The sequence below is a fragment of the Homo sapiens genome, chromosome 5, assembly GCF_000001405.40.
Source record: "Homo sapiens chromosome 5, GRCh38.p14 Primary Assembly".
Lineage (NCBI taxonomy): Eukaryota > Metazoa > Chordata > Mammalia > Primates > Hominidae > Homo > Homo sapiens.
In genome coordinates, this window is record NC_000005.10 from 2,425,710 (window position 1) to 2,450,904 (window position 25,195).

The 25,195-nt window shown below is 43.1% G+C and overlaps 1 long non-coding RNA gene across 1 annotated transcript; it reads right to left on the reverse strand.

Moving 5' to 3' along the window:
• Nucleotides 1-420: 420 nt before the first annotated feature.
• LOC124901167 (uncharacterized) lies at nt 421-5,105 on the reverse strand. Its single transcript, XR_007059106.1, has 2 exons — nt 4,865-5,105; nt 421-925 (listed from the first exon to the last, which is right to left on the reverse strand). It is a non-coding gene; the product is annotated as an uncharacterized LOC124901167 (long non-coding RNA).
• Nucleotides 5,106-25,195: the final 20,090 nt, after the last annotated feature.

Sequence of the window (25,195 nt, forward strand, 5' to 3'; positions counted from 1 at the left end):
AGAACCCAATTCAAGCTCAACTTCCACCAAAAAGTTTTCTTCAATCATAATATAATTTACAATTTGAAATAAAATGCTAACTAAAAGACTAACATTTGCAAAGCATATTACTGTTCTCAAAACATCTTTGCGCATATTATCTTGTTTGTCTCTGAAAATGTCAAAACGCTTATTACCTTATCACGTCCATTGAAAGGTGATGCAGGTGAGACTCAGAGTGGCTAAGGCCCTTGCTCAAGATCAAGGAGGTGAGTGCAGCCAAGCCAGTCATGGTTATTTTGTGATTCCTAACCCCAAGCTCAGCCCATGCTAGTATGCAGCATGCCTAAATTCCATTTGCAGGTATGAGTATGTTGGCTAAGATTGAATTTGACGGCTGCTTCCTGAGCTAGAGAAAAGGAGCTTTAATTGCAAACACTATGCCTTATATTGATGTTTATTTCCCATTGTTCCTCATCTTGAGTGACTCATGGCTTTTTAAGCAATCATACATATTTATGACTGATACCTCAAAAGTGACTCTTCTGTTATTAGCAAGTTATTGGCTCATATTTTGCTGATAACCCAGGTATTCATGTAACAAGGGGATTCTGAGTGCTGGAAGGTTGAACACCATGAGATGCGTGGCTGTGTGGGCTATGCTGGCAAAGCCACCCCCATTTCTCTGTGCTGGAAAGACTTCCTTTCCTGCAAGTTGATCAAGTCCCACCTACCTATTTCACAGGGGAGACTGAAGCCCACAGAGTTTAAGTGACTTTTCAAGTTCATGTTACTGATTGGTAGCAGACTTAGCATGGTTTCCTGACCTCAGGGCTGTTTTCTCACTGGTGTTCTGTGTTGCTTCTTCTTGTTTGTCATCCCGGGGAGGATTAGGGTGCTTCTAAATTGATTTGTAGACTTGAGCAAAGCAAATCCAGCCACGTACCTAAACAATCAAGAACTGCAGTAAGGCATTTTGTATTCAGACAAGATATTTGTAAAATCAACTTAAAATTGTTTTTAGTATTAGCTGATCATTAGCATTGTAAGAGATGTAGAAACATATTTTAAAATGTTTTATTGACATTATAATAATACACTTAATTTTGTAGATTAAATTATTTATCCAAATTTGGGAAACACATTTGCTGGCGATTAACTACCCACCTTGCCCCGGAGAATTCTGCTAATAGGAACTTTGTCAGAATAACACACGTATTACTCACACTAGCTGCCTGGTACAGATATCAGCGCCCATTTAAGAGATGAGGAAATGGAGGCTCAGTTGAATTAACTACCCACCCAAAGACATACATTGTGGCTGTGGCAGTGTTAGCTACAAAGGTGGCTCATACTCCTGAGCTCTGTGCCGTTCCTGCCTCTGTAACTGTGCTGTTCCTGCCTCTGTAACTAATCAATGCTCTGCGTATATGGGGCTTGTAAGGCAGTGGCTTTATTCATTCTGTACATGAGGACTTCCCTCTCTTACCCTTTAGAAGACGAACTTGAACACAGCCAAATAGTGTTGTTTTGCAGAAGGAACCCAGGGTGCAATGCCCCCAATGGCATTTTGTTTTCTTAGCTTTGTTAAATCTTTTAATTAAAGCATGTTAACAAAGCCAAAGAAAAATAAATGACACTGCTTGCAAGGAAATTAAATCGAGGAACTAAGCCCATTTATAATTATTGTATTTCAATTAGGCTGTAACAGGGCCGGGTGAACAGAAAGATAAAAAGAAGCAATACAAATGTTGGAGTTTCATAAATATCTGCAAAGTCCTGTTAGAAATAGAGCAATATAAATAATGCTTTAAAATAGTCAGTGTCCCTGGGCAGTACCCTTTATGCTAATTACTATGGGAAATAATTCATCTATGATGATCTCACCAAAATATGTTATAGGAAGCTAGCAAAGCCCATTTTTTTCTTCAACAAATGCATGGAATTCTTTTGAAGGAAGATGTTACATCAACACATGATAACCTTTTAATTTATTATCATAAAATTAGAATACAATTAAACATTTGAAAGAGCTAGAATTAGATTTAAATTATTCCTCTATATTTTAATGTGCAAATATCTAATATTCACTGAACAGAGAAACACATAACTCATCAGTTTCCATTTAAGCCATATTTATCTCAGCATCTAAAAAATAGTGGCATATATGTGCAATTTTTATTCTGAATTAAAAAAATTTGATGTATCGCTTTATTCTTTCTTTTGAATATTAGGTAAACCATGCCTTGTCTACACCAGTGCAAGAGTAGGAAAGGAAAACTGTGGATTTTTTCTTGGGGAAAGCAGTCATCTGTGTGGCCTGGCTCCCCCAGGGACAGGGCCACCCCCATGACTCCCATCCCCCAGGAGGGCACTGACCAGGACCAGGGACATGCTCCTAAGCGTGCCTTTGCTTTGCCCTCACTCTGTACTCACCCTGGGCAGGCAAGCCTGCCTTACGCCTTAGCTTTGGCATCTGAAATAGTGCAGCAGTCAATTTAAAAATTCTCATGCTTTATGCAGACTCAACAGGAAACCATCTTTGCCAGAGCTGAGGCACAGTGCACGCTCAGTGAACTACAGGTTTTATGGTTACCATTATTTTCTACCAGCATCTTGTTTTTGCTTGTCTTTTCTAGATGAATAAATCTTGCTTAAAGACATGCACGTCATCTGGGGAGAGTGCAAACTCTTCTGACAACTGTTTGTTACTGACTCGTAGGAGATGAGCATAGAAACAGGACTGAAGCACTGGAAAGTACTTTTTAACAACTGGACAGGACAGTTTTATGTCTGTTGAATCTAATACTAAAATGCATTTGAGTATGGAATTTTATGAGTGTAAAATTTCCTCATACTAGGAATTTTAAAAAATATTTTAAAAAAGTGTTCATACACATCAGTTGGAAAATAACTAAACATACACACACACACACACACACACACCACACACACACACACACACGGACTTTCTCCACAGATAATCTGAGAAATACTGGTTTAGACCATTTTGTTCCCATGTAACTGAGATCCAGAAGTCATCCCATGGAACATGGCGAGGGAGGGTGAGGAGGACTGGCAGGCCCTTCGCCGGCTGTTCCCAAGGGTCTGGGATGTGTTGGAAGGGGGAAATCTGGGGATTCATAGCAGCCGAATGGGATCATCTCCATGGTGGGTTTTCTTAATCTCACATGTAAGCCTTCTGCCCCCAGACAACTGTCTTCCCTGGGGCCTGCCTATCTCCTCCAGAATTCTCCAGGACCTCTGCCAAGGGGAAGCCACTTTGAAGAGGGTCCTCATCAGGGGTTCTGCAGGGGAGTGCCACGACTGGACAGCCTGGGTCTGAAGCGAGATCTGGGGAGCACCTTCACCTTCACTTTCACCAGGAGCACTTCTCAGGCTCCCCGTGAACCCAGGGGCCCGTGCACTGGCCCTGCCAGCTGCCCGCCTCCTGGGTGAGCAGAGGCATTAGCTGCTATTCGTGCCCTGTCATTTGGACAGCATGTGACCTGCCACTGCTGGCTTTAAATTACAAATACATACATCCCTACACTTGAAATTAGAGGGTAGTAAGATTCACCTGTCACCCAGGGAAATGGAACAAAAAATAAATTTAAAAAGGAAAGAAAAAAGAAAGAGAGCAAAAGTGAAACCTAAATCTGCATCCACACTGGTGACCGACTGTGATGTATCCCTATCCAGGGCTCCCTTCAGACTGGTGGAAGGGATCCTCCTCCCGTTTCTGCACTCCTGGGTGGCTCTGAGCTCCCCTTCCCACCCCAGCGCCGACTGTGGGCAACAAGGGGGTGCTCTGTGCCCTCCCCACCAGGAACATTAAAAATGTGGGCTTCAAGACAGTGCGGGGCCCCTAACTGGAAAGCTTTCTTCACTGAGATTAAGGCCAGCTTCTTCCCCACCTTGTAGGGGAGAGGAGGAGAATGGATGCTGTGGAGAAGCCCAGGCTCAGGGTGCAACCCTGGAGGGCAGGATCCCACCTCATTGTCCTAAAGAGAGGGTTGGCTCCTTCTCCTTTTTAGCTTTTCCCCCATCCATCAGCGGCCTAGCCGGGCACACAGACATTTTCGAATTCCCCTATTTTTCTATCTTTTTTTTTTGGAATGTAAAATATACATGTTCGTATGAAATATTAAGGCTTTACTCTAACTTAGTGTACCAATATTTTTTAGTCTGCAGAACACATTCAGTGTCTGGCGTTTAACCTCTGTAGGAAAACCCCGGTATCTGCATGCAGCATGCGTGTGGGGGTGGAGCACACACAGCCTTTGTTATTAAAGGCTATCCTGTTCTCCAAGAGGACGCGTGACATTCAGGGGACAGCCTTAACTTACCAGAGGTGTTTATTAAAGACAGGTGCACGCAGGCAAAGGTTCAGGGTGAGAAGAAAATGCAGCGACCTGGCCCAGCCCCAGCTGGTCAGGCTGGGCCACACGCGAGGAGGGAACAACTGGGGAAGCAAGGCTGCCAGTGCAACCCAGGCCCCAGCCCAGCCTCAAGCTGCGCACACGCTCTCCAATTGCTTTAGCCTCAAGCAGTTGACATTTACCCCAGCCAGATAATCGAGGAATAACATTTGCGTTACAGTTTAACATGACCTCTGCCTCCACAGCTCTTTTTAGATTAGCTTCTTTAAAAAAAAGAAAGAAAGAAAGAAAAATGGTCGCTGACACTAGAGTGAGGCAGGAGGTGGGAAGAAGGGGAGCCAAAGCTTATTACTGTAGGGCACAGACGATGTCGCAAGGAGCTGCTCTGCCCTTTCCAGCTGCGGGTGAGCAACTATTAAGGGGAAAGTATTAAAAGAGGGGTGTGGGAGCTGTGTGAGGCTGTGGGTCAAGCTGGAAGCAAAGGTTAATGGATTGACTATTACCTGTGTAGGAAGCGCAGGGCAGCCAATCCTCTGGGGGGTTCGGAAGTGCTCCATTCTCTACCACGGAACTGATGGAGGAGGTCCCTGAGTCTAACACTGGTGGCTGAGCTGCCTGCTCACTTTCCAGAAAATGTGCAAGCAAAGTGTCTCTGTCTTTAAAATTCACATTATTTAGGCATCTAAGAACTGCATTAGGGACAGAGGACAGGCTCTCCTGCACCTTGACTCATTCCCACATCCTGTTTACGTGCAACAGACCAACTGGTGGCCAGAGATTCTCTTGCTATAACCAACGGTAGTGAGGGACTGGGGTGTAAAAATTAAAACACTAATCCCTAGACAGAAAATATAATTCGAATGAAAATATGAAGAAACTGGTTTTAGAAAAAGAAATCAAATATAGCTCTGACAGCACCAGCAGCAAGCTGTTCCTTTTCCCCCCCACAAGAACTCTTTCCCTTAAAACTCCCCTTAATTGAATAGCTAAGAATCATATTCTTCCACAGAAATAGCAGAACATGTTGCAAATGTGTGCCTGATCTGACAATCCATATATTGCAAGGTGATGCTGCTTCTGAAGATCCAGGACTCACACTAATGCAGCTGGAAGGAAACTTTTAATATTTATTACTGGATTGAGCCACTGGCTTCCCAGGAACACCCACATCTAGAAAAGTTGCAAAATGCAGCCCTTCCTTGTAAATGGAGCCTGAACCATGGGAGATCATAACATATTTTTTTAGTCAAGTTTAGGAGTGAGAATATATGCATTACTAAAACACAATTTTTTTTTTTTTTGCCATTGCAGCCAAAATGCCTATTTTTGTTTTGGTGACACTGAGTTGTAGTGCCAACCTTGGCATTTTTTGTGTGTGGTGAGCTGATATCGTAGACCTGAAAATTCACAGGATACACAAATGACTAAGGACAGACTAAGTGACCCCTGTATCCAGAATGAAGCCATACTCTTCAGTGGAATAAACATCTATGAAAACGGTGACATGGCTCAAGTTGCTCAGTCTGCCTGGTTATGGCTTTTGGCAACATCAGCCAGAGGAAATTTGTTTTAAAACCCCAAATCCTCTGAAGGGTATGCATGACCTTTTCAATTATTTTTACTTTTGTTTATTTCATCGACATCACCTTTTGCTCCATTTTCTTACATTAGCAGTGCGTGAGTGCATTAGCCTCAAGAGTGATGTCCAACAATTGTGTGGTATTTGCCAGACACTGTTCTGACCTCCTGACACATTCATTAATGTTAATTCATTTAACAATGCCTATCAAATAGAGATTTCAATATCTTTTAAGGAATTAAAATGTAAAAATTTGAACTAATCCAGAGAGGTAAAATCCTTTATATCTAGACTGACGTAAGAAAAGGAGCAAGACAGTGTAGGAAGGGGAGACACTCAAGTTTCTCTTAAGAGTTAAATTGATTTCCAGGCATCCCTTCTTTAAGATATGTCAATTCATTGGAAAGTCACACTTTAGTGAGGCTTGGAAATGGTATCACAGTTCAAGCGCTACAAATTGCAAAGAACATTCCACTCCTAAGCCTTTCTGATGTTGCTAACTCGTTGGTTGTGGTTGCTGTGTGCCCTACAAAAGTCGATTTGGCCAAGGTTCCTGCCACTGCAGTGGTTATGTGTAGCAAAAAGCAGCGGTGGGGAGGCCTCAAGTTTTGCCTGATATCCAGGGGCACAAAGGAGATGGCTGAGGAAGCCATCGGCATTCAGCAGCCTTCTGACCTGCCCGACGTCTTTGAAAGGACGACCTGCTGACACTGGAGACTCTGTACTTGTTATTTAATTAAGAGAGAAAGGATTTCAGTGGAGAGAAGGCTTTGAGCTTCCTTCGTAATTTTTGCTGACCAATCCAATTATGTGGGTAATTGCAAGTATATTTTCAAAAGCATGGGAATCTGAGAGTCGTCAGCTGCAAAAAAAATCAAGATCTAATCAAGTGCACTGCTGTTGTGAAAAATATTAAAGAGGAGAATATTAAAAATAACAACAGAGTTTCAGTGTTAAAAATGTGGGAAGTTGTCACACATTCTCCATTCTCATCACCTGTTCCTAGCATTTGATTTCTGCCTGCAGGTCTCTGCTGCACAGTCATGAGATTTCTGCTTACTCCCCGTTGGTGGTGGAAGGGTGTAGGTGGCTCTTTTGCGACTGTAGTCTGCAACTGGTTCTGCATGCATTAGAATCCTTACCACACAAAGAGGTGGCCACAATAACAAAGCCATTCCTCTCTGCGAAGGTGAATATTAAAATAGTTTGTTTAGGTTTCAGTTCTACAATACGCAAGGGCTGTATCTTTCTGAATACATTTATTTCAAGGTACTTAAAAACTGACTTTTATGAGATTATTTAGGCAGTGATTATTTTTGTTGAGAAATGTGTCCTTTATCCCTCTCATTCATCCACTGCTAAGATATTTCTGTTTGTCAGAATGCCACCGTTTCTGATAAATGACTGAAGACTGACTGCTACACTTTATTAAAAAGTAATAACAATTTTTGTATGCACCCTTCACATTGTAAGGGGGGGACATGAATCAAAGGACACTGCCTGTCTGGGCCTGATAAATGGGCCGTTTACCAGCTGAGGAGTTATTTAGGACTGGCTATTAATTTAAATCACATTTATCTTCCCTGAATGGGGGAGGTGGCTGTGATACGGCTACGAATGACCAATGGAGCAGCTAAGTGCACATTATTTATTACCACCGCCTCTGCAGGGCTGCACAATATGTTAAAAAAAAGAAACAGTGCCAATTACCGCAGTTAATCTCGTCAGGGCAATAACAAATTTCTTTCCAACACAAGGCAATTTTTATTCTTGCACTTTTTCTCCTCTACATGCAGACTTTGCTTATAATTCTCCATCATTAAACTCAATGTTCTCATTCTTTTCTGAGTGCTCACGGGAAATTTTTCCACTTCTCTGCCTCACCTTTGTCTGGAGAACAGCACATTCTTAATACACAACCCACAATGAAGTGTGTTCTTTTGAACATTTAATGAACATTTGTTGGTGAGATGGTGAGATGATGGGTATTGCAAATCAGATTGGCCATATTTTATTATTAAGTGTTTCCTCATTCATAATAATGCTTTTTGCAGAGCTTTCCATTCACCTAATTCTTAATATGTGAAGTAGCAATTGGGAATAACTAATCATTAGCATTGTTTGGTCAATTAACTTCAATTTGATGGATCTACCACAGAAGATGAAAATATTTCTAATAAAATGCATCTCAGGCACATATTAATCCAAATATGAACAATTCAACTTGCTGTTAGAAAGCCCAAGGCAGGATGTGCACTGCTGCCTGGGTGCACCTGTTCCTATTGCCTGTGCTCCAGAGACCACATGTCAATCCTCACACGTTTTAGACCCTCAGAGGATAAGCAGCACAGCATTAGGGGACTGTCCTAACTGGCTTCCCTGAGTCATGCATTCACCCCACTTTGTCACCAATATCTTGCTTTATGACATTAATACACTCCCCCAAATTGGATAGAATAAAATTGTGTTAAACAGAATCAAAACTCAAATGTAAATTCTTTTTTTTTTTTGAGACAGAATCTCACTCTGTTGCTCAGGCTGGAGTGCAGTGGCACAATCATGGCTGACTGCAAACTCCACCTCCTGGGTTCAAGTGATTCTCATGCCTCAGCCTCCCAAATAGCTGAGACTACAGGAGTACGTCACCACATCTGGCTAATTTTATTTTTAGTAGAGATGAGGTTTCACCGTGTTGGCCAGGCTGGTTTCAAACTCCTGACCTCAAGTGATCCACCTGCCTCAGCCTTCCAAAGTTCTGGGATTACAGGTGTGAGCCACTGTGCCCAGCCCTCAAATGTAAATTCTAAAAATCAAAATATACACCTGTGTAGCACTCTGAATGTGCTTGTATTTACACCTGTTTATGGTAGGTAGAAGGATCATTTTAAAATCCTGACTGCATTTGATTTTCTGACTGTTCTCATCAAAGTAACTACATCTGAATGGTTTTGGGGGGCAAAGGCATGCATAGGGAAACCAACACAGGAGACTGAAGAAAAATGACCCAAAAGTGGATGTGAGCAACATGCATGGTTTGTTTGCTTCTCTGATTTTGATTTGACACTTGGAGGCTGGTCAGGTGCTGGAGGAATCTAAAGACAGAGGGTTCCTTAAACCTCCTTGGAAAAGGCAGTTCGGACCCCTCAGCAGCCGGAAACGCATCCCAGTGAGGGTGGGTGGGAGATCCCTGTGCAAACTGTGGGCCTCTGAGTGGAAGTGCCCTGGCATATCCACCTGCTCCGAGGGACCCTCCTTGGCTTCAGAGCCTGCCGCCGCAATAACCTCGGCAGTCAGCCCACCGCCACTCAAGCAGGACATGAGGTGTGGGTGCTGCAGAAGGCTGGGGCATGCAGTCACCTCCCTCAGGCTCTCAGCTGGGCCTTTTCCAGTTAGTACTGAGGGGTGAGCACTTCACTTTGGGGCCCTGGCAGGGCACCAGAAACCTTCCTGGTGGTGGGTGGGGGTGGTCCCTCATTCTTGTTGGAAGTGGACGGGTAAACATGCTCAGCACTGTAACCTTGCAATGTTAACTGCTACTGAATGTTCAGATTCACAGAGAGCCCCAAATTCTTTTGGCCTTCCTTGGTGACGTTTTCCATTCACAGGTCATCAACAGTCACTCCTGTTGATTCAAGCTGTTGCCTTCTCCATCCCACCAGAGCCCATGCTCCTGGGCCTTTGCTTTCCTGTGGACCTAAACTTCTCCCCTCCCATTCTCAGCTCAATTGAACCTCAAGTCCTTTCTGCTTTCACCCATGGAACTGCCCCCTCCAGCTCTGGTCAGAGTCTCTTTTTCTGTGACACAACCTGAGAGACAGCCTCTGAAAACATGTCCTTGACATCTGTCTCCAGTTCCCTGTACTGCTCAGACTGGCCCAGACTCATGGGAGGACCATTCACCCCCTGGCCCCTGGATACTTCACTGCCATTTCTCTAGTGTCCTTCTAGACACTCTGCCGCCTACATTCTGGCCCAGGTGTGCTGACCACATAACACTCTGTTTGCCTCAAAAGGTAACCATCCTGAAGCTGGTATGCCCTGTCACATAAGCTGCAAGGTCCATTCCCTTCCTGTCCTCTCTAGCTTGGCTGTGTTACAGAATATGGAAGCTCAATAGCTTGAGTGACCCTTGTCCACAATTAACTGTTTAAGTCTTGCCCAAGGATACAGTCATTATCTTTAGAGCCACATCACCTTATTTGAACCATCACTAGTGAGAACAAACCATCCTTTGAGCACACAGTTAAGTTCTAGAAATGCAAAATAAGGTTCTAAAGAGCTCTATTTTGTAAATGAGGTAGGAGAGTGAGATGAGGGCATTTCCAAGCAACACTTTCCTATGGTCCTGTCTACTCCATGGCATGGGCTAGCCCATAACATGCACAATTTCATGTAGGAGTGTCATTCTCCATTCACCCACTGCAGAAGCTTCCAAGTTATTCTTAACTAGTTCATTCCCTTAACAGCAATCCTGTCCTGACACTCAATAGGAAGAGTCTCTCAAATAGTGTCTTTATCTCAATTTTCATCAACAATGTGCTAGTTTTTGCCTTACCATTATCATATAGAAAACTGCAACAGCTTCCCCATGGTCTCTATGTCTCTGTGGTCTTCCTTACTTAGTGTGTGTCTGGCTATTATTCTAAAATACCCCAGAGTTCAAAATTCCTAAAAGACCTTCCATTTCAGCATCTGAGATTATACACAAAAAATCAAGTCATTATCCCTAATTTTCAGTTAAATTTCAAATATTTATTTTTCCCTTCCATTCTCTCTTTCCTCCTCTTCTGGGATTCCAGTTACCTGTAGTTCTCTCTTATTTATATTAGATGACTTTATTGATCTATTTTCAAAGCCAATGAGTCTTTCAATTTCTGGTGATATTTTTTAAATTTCAGATTTTTTTTTTTTTTGAGACGGAGTCTCGCTGTCGCCCAGGCTGGAGCGCAGTGGCGCAATCTCGGCTCACTGCAGGCTCTGCCCCCTGGGGTTCACGCCATTCTCCTGCCTCAGCCTCCCGAGTAGCTGGGACTACAGGCGCCCGCCACCTCGCCCGGCTAATTTTTTGTATTTTTAGTAGAGACGGGGTTTCACCGTGTTAGCCAGGATGGTCTCTATCTCCTGACCTCGTGATCCACCCGCCTCGGCCTCCCAAAGTGCTGGGATTACAGGCGTGAGCCACCGCGCCCGGCCTAAATTTCAGATTTTTTAAAATTATAAAGTATCTATAAAATTTTATAGATATCTTCAATTTTACTTGTAAAATTTTCTATCTTTGTATTAATCACAAAAATATTTTTCTTTATCCTTATGAGCATAGTAACAGTAGAGTTTTGAAGCCCTTTTTGAAGATGCCCAAACTCAGAATCGTCTTGGGTTTGGGATCTGTTTTTTGCTTTTCCCTTTATACTGGGTCATATTTTCCTGAGTCTTCTTATGTTGAGTAATTTTGGATTATATCCTGGGCATTGTTCAGTCTCCAAATGGGTCCAGACAGCTGTCTCTGTAGTTTATCCAGAATTTATAGCTGGTGTTAGGTTTTCACTCATCCACGTTGAAAGAGAAGCCACTCTAATGTCGTTTTCAGCCTCATCTCTCAATTCTTTCCCTGCAAATATTTGCTTCAACATTATAGGCAAACCAGTCTCTTCACTCTGTCGTGGGCAAGCCCAGAGCTTTTATCTGACATGACAGGCTTTAAAGTGTCCTTTCAACAGCAGGACAAAGTGAAATACACAGATATTTTCAATAAATAAATAAATAAATAATAAATAAATTTTTGTTTTCCTGGAGTAAGAAAAACAAAAACAAAAACGAGAAAGAGCATATTTTCTTTTCGGTGGAAACTCAGGGAGGAAATTTTAATGTACAAAGTAAGATTTCTCCTGCCAAATTCCTAAATGAATAGGGATATTTTTAATTTGCCAAAACGTCCACTTTATTCAATACTTTTCTATGATGTAAAGTTACTGAATGTTCAGGATAAAAATAATATTTTGATATTTATGGAAGAGATTGTTAAAAAATCAGAAAATTCTTTGAGGGCCCACTTGTGAAACCAGCAAAGACAGAAGGAGAAGGGCCAGTTGATGTTCTGCATTTATAAAAGCATGTGCCAGCCTTCCACACCGTGATAATGTGCATAGGTTTAAGGAAAATGACATAGTTTTGTTGCATGCAGACTTCTAAATATCATCATTTTGAGGCAAATTAAAAATCAGAGGTCATATAAGAATTATCTATTACGTGTTCATCATTTTCCTGAGCTCTGTGGGGATACAAGAGAAGCCTTCTGCCATCTAATACCTTAGAAGCTGAAGAGTAGTCTGGTCACTTTGCAGCCTGGTAAAGTGCTATAGAAACATAACCGTCCTTCCACCTTGCAACTCAGCATCCCGGTGTCCTGAATATAGTGGCTAAGGAGATTCGGCAGGTCAACCAGCCATAGAGAATGGCTATCACTTCCAATAATCTTTTCTTTATGCTCTACTTTTCATACTTTGGGAACATCTGTTACCCTCTGTGTTCTTCACCTCTGCTTCTTCATAGCATCAGACCTCACTGTATTTTTTTATACTTACTGCTGATAATCTAATCAGCTGGCATTCAACTAGAGTTGTCACTCATCTAAAGTCATAATAAAAGTCAGTGGTATGGAGTGAGAAAAGTCAATTTTATATGTGTAGTAAATGCACATAAAAATACAGGTATCAGATTTTCAAAAAAAATAAAGTATTATTCTCCATCAAGAAGTATTTAACATGATAATTGAAGATTTGTATTTTCGTGTAATTTTGAATGAAATCTTCTGGTGAAATAATAGAAATAAGTCAGTTGTCCCATTAAAACATAATAACTTACTTCTTTTGCTTATCTACACAATTATGTGCATACATTAGCTGGGGTGAGGGTGTCATGTAATGTTCAAGTGAAGAAAATGTCTTAAGTTGTATTTTGACACTGTAATCAAATGTGGAAAGTGCTTTGAAAATTTTATTTGCTTTAATGAAGCATGAAAGTAAATAATTGTCTCTTCATGGACATTTAATTCTTTCTCTATTTTTTCTAGGCTTCTTTATAATCCACTTTTTTCAATTATTTTCCAAATTTACAAGAGATATTGGCCTAAAATAAAGAATTCTTAGTGTCCACTTATTAAAAATAATGTGAGACAAGGCAATAGAAAACCCTCCATTTCAATCTGTCTTAATAACCTACAATCTTTATACATCCCACCTGAAATTTTGGCTCCCTTTGAATTCTACAGCTGTTGGTTCTCCATAAGAAGTATAAGCAAAATGAGTTAACTAGAGCTGTGGCACTCAGAAAGAAGTTAGAGATGCGGATCGGGGTGATAGGAAAGTAACCCATGTTTAGACAGCACCTGGAGAGAATACACTATAGGTGAGAAACGTACCTTTAAAAGAGGAAATCTCCTTATGTAATAGGTCAAATGTAGAATCTGTGGTTGCAAGATTGTACCGCTCTCACCAATTGGCACATCTTGAGTGTTTTAAAGAAGAGAGGGAGAAGCTCACAAGGGGGTTTTTCTATCAACCAACATCAAACACTGGGAAGAGAAAAAGCTTTGTAGATAGCAAGTGACACCTGATAGCAAGTGTCAGCCAGTTCTGCCACTCCCACTAGGTGCCACTCCCACTAGGTGTTAGTGGGAGTAGGTGCCCGCCACTCCCACTAACAGCCTCATCTTGCTGACCTGTGTCCTCATGCAGGGATAACAGTGCTGCTTTTTACTTTGAGCAAAGAATGCAGAGAAATCTTACAGTGCCCAGTATCTAGTAGGAATTCAATAAATTGAAGTTATTTCTCTTACCATTGTCACCATTATCACCATCACCACCATCACCATAATCATCATCCTATAATCACTATCAACATCATCATCATTGTCATCACCACACCATCACCACCATTAACATTACCATTACCATAACCATCATTATCATCACCATTATCACCATCACCACTGTCATTATCATCATCTTCACTATCACGATCATCATCAACACCATCACAATCATCATCATTATCATTATCATCACCATCAACATCATTGTCATCACCACACCATCACTATCATCATTATTATCTCCATCACCACCATTACCATCACTATCACCACCATTATCCTAACCATCACTATCATCATCATCCCTATCATCATCACCATAATTATCATCACCGTCACCATCATCATCATCATTATCACCATCACCATCACCGTCATCATCATTGCAATCACCATGCCCATGATTAGCATCCCTATCATCATCACCATCACCATCATCATTATCATCACCATCACCATCATCATAATTATCATCAATACTATCACCATCATCATCATCCTCATTCTTATCACCATCACCATCATTATTATCACCATGCTCATCATCACCATCACCATTACCATCACATCACTATCATCATCATCATCAACATCAACTCATTGTCATCACCATCATTATCACTAAGTTATTATCATTGTCTTGATATGTACCCCAGGAAGAGACAAACTAGAACACTAAGTACTAGGAGAGCCTTGAGGATCACATAATTCAGGCTAAGGAGTTGATGGGCATGGTGCAGAAAGGGGCCAAACTCGGGGGATGGATGCTGAAGATGTGTGCCTTGGGTCACTGTGGCCAGCCATCAGGATGCCCTCTGAGTGGTACTGTCTCTTCCAGGTGCCAAGATTTTTAGGATGGCTCCACACAGAGGCACCTCCCTAGGCCACCTGCCTTCTCAGTCCCTTCAGTTGTTATATTCAAACCTCACCTGCCAGTACCAGATCCTTGGTTTAACCCTGAGACCTCAGAGAGGGGCAGAGCAGGCAGATCTGGCCTCTGTTCCTGTGGCTTCACACCCACTTCTTTCCTAGATCTTCTGGGACCTCAGAGATTGGGCTGTAGTGTCTTGAGGCAGTGTGAATGCAGCAACTGGTTTGGGATAGGCACCAGAAAACATGAAATCAGAAACAAAGTATCTAGTCAACATGTGAATTCTATCAGGCTCTCACTTTTTTCATAAATTTTCTAAGTTTAAAATAAATACCAAATCATACATATATTTTTAAATTGGCTACTTATCATCCTCATGTATTATAATAATTTAGGTGTATTTTCATTTTCTTGTATCCTATAATTAAATGCTTGCTCGAGTTTGTAAAGTGAAGCAGTTTCACAAAGCCATGATTCACTGTATTCCAACACAATGCTAGATGATCAATTGCTGAGTCTTTGAAATACTCAGTAGAGCAAACTCAATGTTAATTTTCAGGCATTTCTTTCAAGTGGCCTTTTTAATTTTCTGAGTTTCAAAGCAGGTGAGACTTCTTTCTATTTTCAGAGAAGTGTGCTTTCTATGGGTGTTTTAGTTTGATTCTGAAATGTTTTCCAAATTCTTAACTTATTTGTATGTGGCATAAAGAGTGAAGATGCTAAAAGTCAACTCCCGCGTAGGAAGCACTGATTCATGCCTAAACATGGATGAACCCTGCAGTGCTACGCTAAGTGAAAGAAGCCGGAACAGAAGGTCAGATGTATGAGTCCACATGTAGGAAATAGTCAGAGGGCCAATTCTCAGAGCCAGAGGCAGAACACAGACTTCCGGGGGCTGTGGAAGGAGCAGGTGGGGACTTATTGTTTAATGGATATAAAGTTTTTGTTTGGGATCATGAAAAAGTTCTGGAAATAGTGGTGATGGTTAACCCAATATTTTGAATGAATTTAATGCCATGGCAGTGTATACCTGAAACTGGTTCAAATGGTCATTTTTCTGTTATGTGCATTTTACCACAATAAAAACAAAATAAAAATCAACCTCTTGCAAATCAGATGAATGCACTGAAAGTAAAGAAAATAAAGTGTGCTTCCTGAGCAAGTGTGAGCGGCAATTTCCATTCAAGGACCTCTCAGGAGGCGGGCTCTTGGTGGGGGCAGGCCCTGCTTGGCCCAGCAGCCCTCCCTGACCTCAGAGGGTGCGTCATTATTTATTAGCAAAGCAATCTGGCTGCAGTGCGCCGTCAGCAGCCAGACGCCAATATAGAAAGGTCACAGCCTCCAACACTGCGCCAAGGGTGTTAGAGCAAATACAAATACAGCTTTTTAATTTCAGCTGAATTGATTAGATAACAATTGGAAGGTGTCACAGGTCAGGAGGTGCGAGCCAGCAGGTCAACAGAGAGAAAGGAGCCCGGGGCAGTGGTCACAGGGGTGCCAGGCTGCCACCCTCACCATGCCATGGCCCTTGTCTTCATAAATGAAGAAATGTCCACTCGGGACCCAGATGCTTTCCACAGGACCAAGCACATGGCTCAGGGCCACCCCACAGTCAACACAGGTTAGAAATTAGTCTCTATTTGAAGTGAAATACACAAAGGCTCTCAAGGATTTTGAAAGGTGAGAAATAACGCCAGTGCCCAGTAGCACTGAGACTTGGAGTCACTGATACCCGCGTGTGGAGCTGTGTATGGCTTCCAGGCCTCAGAGCCACGGCTGTGGCTCTTCCTGGACGGGATGAAGGTACAGGAGACAGGAAGGGTGGGGCCTTGGCTACTTGAGAGGCCACCACACCAGCTCAGCCCACAGAAGGTCTCACCTGTCCACAGCCCGCCAGTCCATAGGTTTAGGACTCACCCACAAGATGAGGCAGTGACAGCAGGGCCATGGTCCTTGTGGGAGGCAGCCTTGCTGTGCAGCAGTGAGGGGTATTCCTTCGCGTTCCTGTCATCCAGCTGACAATCTCTGGGTTCACAGACTAAGTGTCCAGAATCAAAAAGGCAGCATGGGACATCTACCCAAACCTCAGAAAAGGAAATGAGCAGAGATTCATCACAAAAAGGCATAAACATACATATATGCATGTACGATTATTTAATTATATAAACACATTGTCTCACAAATCATCACACACATGCATGTAAATGTCATGGGATAATACTCTTGCCAATGAAAACTGGCAATTATTCAAAAGTACATGGCCCAGGAGTCTCTGCCAAGACCTCCTCCCTTGTCAATGGTGCAAGTTTCAGAGGCGGTTTCGAAGCGTCAGAACACAGGACCCTCTCTGTGGAGATGCAGACTGTGGGTCCTCTCTCTCCCACGGAAGGGTTTCGGATGCCTCGGCTACCCAGCTGCGACGGGACCTCCAGCTCAGAACCGGCTGGTGGGCTCGGTGCCACGAGAGCTCCCGGACGTGGATGAAACCCAAGGAATCCCCTGGGATGGCCAGGGGAGGAGGAGCCACGTGGCTGCTGGAAGGCATCACAGCTCAGCAGCCCGGGAAGACGCTCCTCGCTGCCCGCAGGCAGCTACAGGCATGAGGCTTTCCTCCGACCTCCTTCTTGCTCATTCAAGAGTATATTCTGGAATGGGAGTCAGACAGAGAAATGTGATCACCTCACCAGGCTTTAGTCTGCTCTCACTCGCAGAAGAAGACAGCAGCCCTCCGCCCATGGCGTTGGTGCGTCCTGGGGATGGTGCTGTGCCTCCTAACAGACCCGCACTCCGCCACACCTGGGCTCTGGCCGCCCCCAGCTGCTGAGCCGCTTCCTCTCCCGTCCTTCTCATAGCGTGCACTCACAGTGGAGCCCCAGAACTTGGGCGTCTGCATCACATTTTTACCAGAAACAACAAAAGGCAACTTTGGGAAAACAGACAACTTACCCTGAGATCAGGGAACTGAATTTAGAACAAGAAGTCCCACCTAAGTTTGGACAGAAATAAATCTTAAGGAATAATTTATCTGTGCATTTTGTTTGTTGGAGTAGGAATCCCTTCCAACCTGGTTCATATCTTGTACAATTGCTGGGAGCCTGGCTACCTTTCATCCTCCAAAAGTTTATGGTCTAGAAGCCACAAAGACAAGGAAAACACTTTTTGTTTCCTTTCTATTAAGATTCATCAATGCATTGTAAGTTAGAAAATAAACCTGAAAATCTGTGATGTGAACCATAACCCATAAACTCACACAGATTTTTATCAGAAGTTATGTTTCATTTGTACTCTTTCCCAAAGAAGGAAAGGACTGTTACGAAAAACTGTCCGCTGCTGATAGGTAGGGAAGACAGTAAGCCCCGGTGTCCATTGAGGTCATTTTTCTGATGCTGATTCTTGAAACAGGCCCATTAATTTATGGATTGGCAATCTTCACTAGGGTCAATGAGAACAGCAACAGTCAGCTTTTGCTACTTGAGTGAGACAAGCATCCCGTAGCCTGCTGCTCTCAGCCTTCACTTCAGCTTCCTCCCTTTCCTTTTCCTTTCTCTTCCCAGCAGACCCACACCTATGCTTTTTCAGAATGCATCCCAGGAGGAAACCAACTTCTTCTGTGACTTTAAACCTTTCATGTTGAGATCTAGAACAATTCATCATGATAGTCATAAAGAAGTCTGGGGCTTAGCAATGCAGACATATTCGAGAATGAAGTTTTTAAAAATAAAATATCTGGGAATGTTCTCTCTGTACTCTTGTCAAAATGGATAAATACATTTATTTTAGAATTTTAAACATTTAAATTATGTATGTGTTGGATCTTCTCTTTGGCATCAGAAGGATCTCTCTGTGTCGAGAGGGCAAGGTGCCATGGGAAAGTGGCCCTGTGTTAGCGAGGAGCTGGCCCTAACCAAGATCAATGATCCCATCTCTTTCCTCTTCAGGGCTTAGCAAGCTATTGGCGGTTCACAGGACACCTAAAATAGTTAGCAAGCTATCGGCCACTCACGGGACACCTAAAATAGTTAGCAAGCTATCGGCCATTCACGGGACACCTAAAACAGTTAGCAAGCTATCGGCTGTTCATGGGACACCTAAAACAGGACTAAGAGAGAGAGAGGGGAGAGCAGCCAGGATCAAGAGTGCAGAGAATGCTGTTCTTTTCCTTTCTGCTTTCAATTTTGGGGATTGTCAGTATGTGCTGTCACAAATCAACATTTATTTATGGAGTGCTGTGGCTGGGGTGCTGCATTTTACCCTCTTGTCTCCATCTTTTCATCTGCAAATAGAGTCAGCCATGTTGCATAGCTAGACCTTAAATTAGGAATCAACAAATTAACATTAAAAGACCCGATCAGCGAATTTTATGTTTTTTCCATGCCATTAAGTAGGATGCATTTATTCATTATAATTATAAAAATAACGTTGATGTAAAATTGGAAAATTATAGAAAGAATGAATAATTAAATGCAAATTACCTGTAATCCCATAATTGGTCTTCAAGAGGGTATTTCAGAGCAAACAAGACACATACACGCTCACACACACACACACACACACACACACACACACAACTGGTATCATTTTGCACATCAAGGCTGGGAATCTGGACATCACCATGGGAAGCACTGAGCTATACTTCTGTACTTTCAGGGGCCCTACCACATCTTGACTTCCTCTTGCTTCTTAGAAGCTTTCAATCTAGTTGTCAAGAGAGTAAGTATTTGGAAAAAAACCCCAGATAATAATAAAATGCTTTAATAAGATTTCAGTATAAGAGCAAATCAATGCTACAGTTTAATGGATGATTTGTCAGCAAATGAACTTCCCAGGCAGTAGTTATAACAGCCATGGAGGGAGGCAGGGAAAGGGTAAGTGATCGCTCTTATTGAACATCTATACCATAGGCAGTGATGCAAATGCTTTATATAAACGATCTCATTAAATCCCATAACACCTGTAGAATATAATCTTATCTATTCTTTTTTACAGAGCTTGAAGCAGAGACTGTGCGAATAGAGGGCTTCCTTAAAGTATCACACAGCAAGGCTAAGCAGGGATAAATATTGGGGAGGCAGCGAGTTCTATGCTGGTGCAATTTTGGTGCACATGTGTGCAGTGGTTTTAGGAAACTTTGACTAAACACAAGTGATTAGTATAATTGATTCAAGCAGAGGGAATATTATGAAAGTGAGTGGAAGTCTCAGATAGTCCACAGTATTATCTAAGAGTCCTTTCTGAGCATCCTGCTCCATTTAAAGAGGATAAAAATATCCATGACATCAGTTGCTGTAAGGATTCAATAATACAGGAAAGTGTCAACACAATCAGCTTTTAATAAATAGTGTCTTTGATTGCTGGGAGATCTGCATTTCTGCACATCATTCGACCAAATCAAGTGTATGAACCAGTGGACCCATGCCAACCTGGAACAGAATTGCCAGTGCCGTTCTCAGGCCCCGTCCCAGGTTATTTGTCTAAAAGATGAATCAATGCCTTGGATAATGAAATTGCTGCCATCTCAAGCAGACACTCAGATGACATAGAACTGCCAAAGAGTGGTTACTAAGAGGCTTAAGCAGTTCACAATAGGCTGGGGCAGTGGATGAGTTCAGTGTCACAATGAATTATATAGAAACACATAATCACAACGTCCTTACAGGAAAATCCACACACACAAACACACACATGCAGACACACAGACACTGAATTAAAAACTTAACAGAAAGTGTTTTGTATTTTCAATGGAACTAGAGAGGCCATCAAAGTGGAAAAGAAGATATAACAAAATTTGATGATTTAATGAGTGAGGTAATTCAACAGGAAACTCAAAATTTATAAGATATTTCTATGCATATGCTGGGTGCGGTGGCTCACGCCTGTAATCCCAGCACTTTGGCAGGCCAAGGCAGGTGGATCATGAGGTCAGGAGATCGAGACCATCCTGGCTAACACGGTGAAACCCTGTCTCTACTAAAAATACAAAAAATTAGCCAGGCGTGGTGGCGGGTGCCTGTAGTCCCAGCGACTCGGGAGGCTGAGGCAGGAGAATGGCGTGAATCCGGGAGGCGGAGCTTGCGGTGAGCCTAGATCATGCCACTGCACTCCAGCCTTCCAGCCTGGGTGACAGAGCAAGACTCCATCTCAAAAAAAAAAAAAAAAAAAAAAACGATATTTCTAGGCATAAAGCCTTTTTTTAAATTTTTTTCTGAGATGGAGTTTTGATCTTGTTGCCCAGGCTGGAGTGCAATAGCATGATCTCAGCTCACTGCAACTCCGCTTCCCAGGTTCAAGTGATTCTCCTGTCTCAGCCTCCCAAGTAGCTGGAATTACAGGTGCCCGCCACTACGCCCGGCTAATTTTTGTATTTTTAGTAGAGACGGGGTTTCATCATATTGGTCAGGCTGGTCTCGAACTCCTGACCTCAGGTGATCCGCCCGCCTCTGCCTCCTAAAGTGCTGTGAGATGTGAGCGGCCACGCCCGGCCACATAAAACCCTTTTTATACATGGAAATGAAAAGGAATATCATCTCTTGCTCCTGGACATTCACATTGTTGGGGGAGGGAGAGCTTGTCTGGGGAAGAAGCCCAATATTAGAGACGAGGCCTCAATTCTGCACCCTGGGACAGCATTCCCAGGAAAGGAAATGGGAACGGGTCATCGGCAGGACACATGGGTAGAGAGCTCTATTCGGTTTTCACAGGCTAACTTTGAGTCGTGGCGTCGAATACCACTGTTCAAGAGGTGTTGCAAATAAAGAACCTGAAGACAGGAGTGAGACCAGGAATGGAAATATAAACCTAAGAATAATTGTGCTCAAGCTGTTGCATGAAGGTGGGAGAATCATTCTCTTGGAGCTGAAGTAAAAGCAGGGTTAGGTGGAGAATCACACAAGCAATGGCAACACCTACGTGAATTTAGATCAGAAGAAAATGCAGGTGACAAACCTGTCTGTTTAGGATTAAGGAGCCAGAAGAATGGATTTATCTGGGGTTGGCCTGGGGGTCAGGGGAAGAGTGTTGTCACAGGCAAAGTTTGCCCCAGTAGCTAGCAGTGCTAGAGAAAGAGCAAGGGGGATGAAGTCAGGGCAGGGCCGCAGGTCTCCATACAGATGACAGCTCAGAAAGGGCAAGATGTGTCACAGAAAATCAGAAGTTGGAGAGGAATTTGTTTATCAGATCATTAAACTGCGGCCGTTCGTCTGTAAAGGAAAGAGACAGAGCTCTATGATAGAAGGCAGGAGGATCATGTGCGGCTTTTGAAGATGAGGAGAATGGGGAAAAATGGAGTTGAATGTAGGAAGAGGCCTTTCCATGGAGCCATCCTCCCAAGGACCTCAGCAAGGATCTGCTCCCCAGGCAAGGAGGGCGTGTGGGTCTCGGATCACAGAGAGGAGGAGGAGGTGTGAGGCCGGGAGGGCACAGGAGGACCAGGGAGGGTGCAGGAGAACCACTGAGAAAAATGGCAGAGACCTTGACACATGGAGGACAAAAGTGAACTTGATTTTCTTAACAAAACTGAAGGCCACAGTTGAAGAGAGAGAGCATGAGACAGCTTGATCGAAATGGTGAAGCTTTGGAGAGATTTTGCGGGGAATGCACTGGAGAACCATGAAGATGTGGAAACAAACAAACAAACAAAAAACCGCTTTTGCATCTTCAGACATCTCACTTGTCATCACCAGCACAGTGCCATGCATGAGTGACCCATTGCAGGGAAACAAACCAGAGATCTCCCATGAATGTCTCCGGAAACACAAAGAGAACAGAAAGTAGAAACAGCAGGGAGAATGCAGATCAGAGGATCAGCAAAGTGGACCCAGAAGCTCAGAGCACAGGCGAGCTCAAGGTCAAGACTGTTGAGGTCACCAACCTCAAAACAGAGTTTATGGCTTGTCACAGAACCAGCTGGAAGCAAAAGGGATTGGATGTGGGTTGGATGTGGTGCTGGTACAGGTGTAGACAAGCAGGTCAACAGAACAGAATAGAAAACCGGAGGCTGAGCCTAGGGTGTATAAGTGCTTTATGTGAAACTTGAAGCAACATATCCAATTATTTGGGGAAAGATTTATTTAGTAAGTAACGTGAGAGAAATTGATTACCTATGTCAAATGAGAGAGGGAGATCCAGTAGAATTTTAAGGGAATAGGATGAAACAAAACTTATATTAATTTAGCACCTATGTCTTTTTTTTTTTACTTTGAGACTGAGTCTTATTCTATGGCCTATGCTGGAGTGCAGTCGTGCAACCTCTGCTCACTGCAACCTTCACCTCTCAGGTTCAGGTGATCCTCCTGCCTCAGCCTCCCGAGTAGCTGGGATTACAGGCACCCACCACCACACCCAGTTAGTTTTTGCATTTTTAATAGAGACGGGGTTTCACCATGTTGGCCAGGCTAGTCTCGAACTCCTGACCTCAAGTGATCTGCCTGCCTCCGCCTCCCAAAGTGCTGAAATTACAGGCATGAGCCACCACACCTGGCCCAATTTAGTACCTACTTCTTAGCAGGCATTTAATTTGTAAAATGTGAAATCTAATTTGATCTGAACAACCCTTCCATGATGGAAGAAGCAGCGACTCCATATTTTTCTGGTGAGAAAACTTCAATTTTTGAGAGGCTAAGAGATACTAGTCTTTTGAGAAATCAAGGCTAGCCTCCTTTCAAAGCCCCTTTTCGTGATGCTGAATTTTAGTCCTGTGAGCCCAGGGAGGATACAATACCTTCAGGAGGGCACCTTGCTACCCCGGTTTTGGCTCAGCTGGCACAGTGGGAAGCCTGCCTGGTCATAATAAATGCACAGTACTTGAGCTGGACGAGATGGAATACAATTGAATCCTGCAGACCCTCAAGGAAGGAAGATATGAACTCCGTCTAACTTCTCTAATAATCAAAATTACTTCCAAACAACAGCTTACCCAATAAAGCTCAATAAAGCAAAATCGAACCCCTAATAAAATAGTCCAGAAGATGCTGAACTAGAGGAACATTGGCTTTAGGTAACCGCAGCTTTACCGAAGGTCAGTAATCATGTGTCTTTAAAGTGTATAAAGTGCTCTGGGATTTTGTTAACCCGGAAAGTCATTGTTTATAAAAGACGAGTGTAGGTGACAGTGGAGGCGTCACCTGGATCTACCTTTAACGATGGAAAAGGCATCTCCTTAGCTGCTGGGAGTGAGGCCAGCAGACAGCCTTCTGTGGCAGCCTTCCTCAGTGGCCACCTCAGGGGAAGTGCCTGTTCCGCCCAAAATCACACCTCCCTCTAGGGGCAACCGGTGACCCAGCCCCACCCTGAGAAGAGTCTACAGAGCCATCTCACTTGGGAGCTGCCCAGGGGTGGGTCCAGGCCTCCATGGAGACAGCCCTGCAACCACCTCCTCTTTGCGTAATCTATGTTGTCCCACTTCTCACAGGGGCCAACCCAAGAGCACTGCCTAATAGACCGCCTGGACCCTGATTTCTGTCTCAACCTGCAGCAATTCGGGAACCCAAGGCTGCAACCCTTAGGAACCAAGAGGACCCAGCTCTTGTGCCTGAATTTCTCAAGCTACCTCTTGATATGCCTACCTTCCACTGCAAAATAATCCCAGACGTGAAATGTGTACTATTCTGTATGACAAAGGAGAGATACCTAATTACCAAGATATGCTGGATTTGGATGTAGGTCATTTTTCCAGCAAGTTTTAGCCCTGTCAAAAACGTAATCCCATTAAAATTAAAACATGTAGTTTATTGTGTATACAAAAGAACAGTTTGCAAAACCAGAGATTTGCCATCAAAAGTGGTAAGAAGCTCCACTTAGAGTGGTCACAGAACAGCTGGAAGAGGTATTTGGAACTTTTTGTCATTGGCTGTTACACACTGACATTCTTCTTAAAGGCAAAAAAAACTGTTCAAGCTAATATGTCTATAGTTGATTGGCTTAATGTTACTGAATCATGCTGACAAGGATGTAAAGCTTATGTTTCATGTTTTGTTTATGATTAGAGCTTAAATTTGGGGGAAATCAGGATGACTTAAGTTTGGGCTATGTGGCAATGGGCAGTTGGTCTTGAGGCTCTATGCAAACTGTGGTCTCCACTTTTAGTTTTTTCTTTGACACCCCTAAAGTGTTCATTGACACTTTCAATGGGGACCCACCATCTGTTTTAGAAGTTTTAATCCAGTTTATGCTGATTTTACGTTGTTACCTATTTCCGTATGTTTCTTATGTCTGAAAAGCCTTTGAAACTTACTCTAGTGAAATAAAATAAAGCAGGGGTGGAGGAGCTGGGGACCCCAAGACCTCCCTGGTCGCCTTCTGCCATTGCCTCTCTCCTGAGGAGGGTGCAGGTTGCTTACACCCAGCCCTAAGCTTCTCCCACCGTCCTCTGCTAGTTCATTTTCTCCTGAAATGTGTAGAGAACAACGTAGTGAATGTGTTACACCCAAACCCACATCGGTCTCAAATCCTAGAATGTAGTCGTATTGTCCAGATCATTTTTAAAGAAATAGAAAAATGACTAAGCCAATGCCAGCACC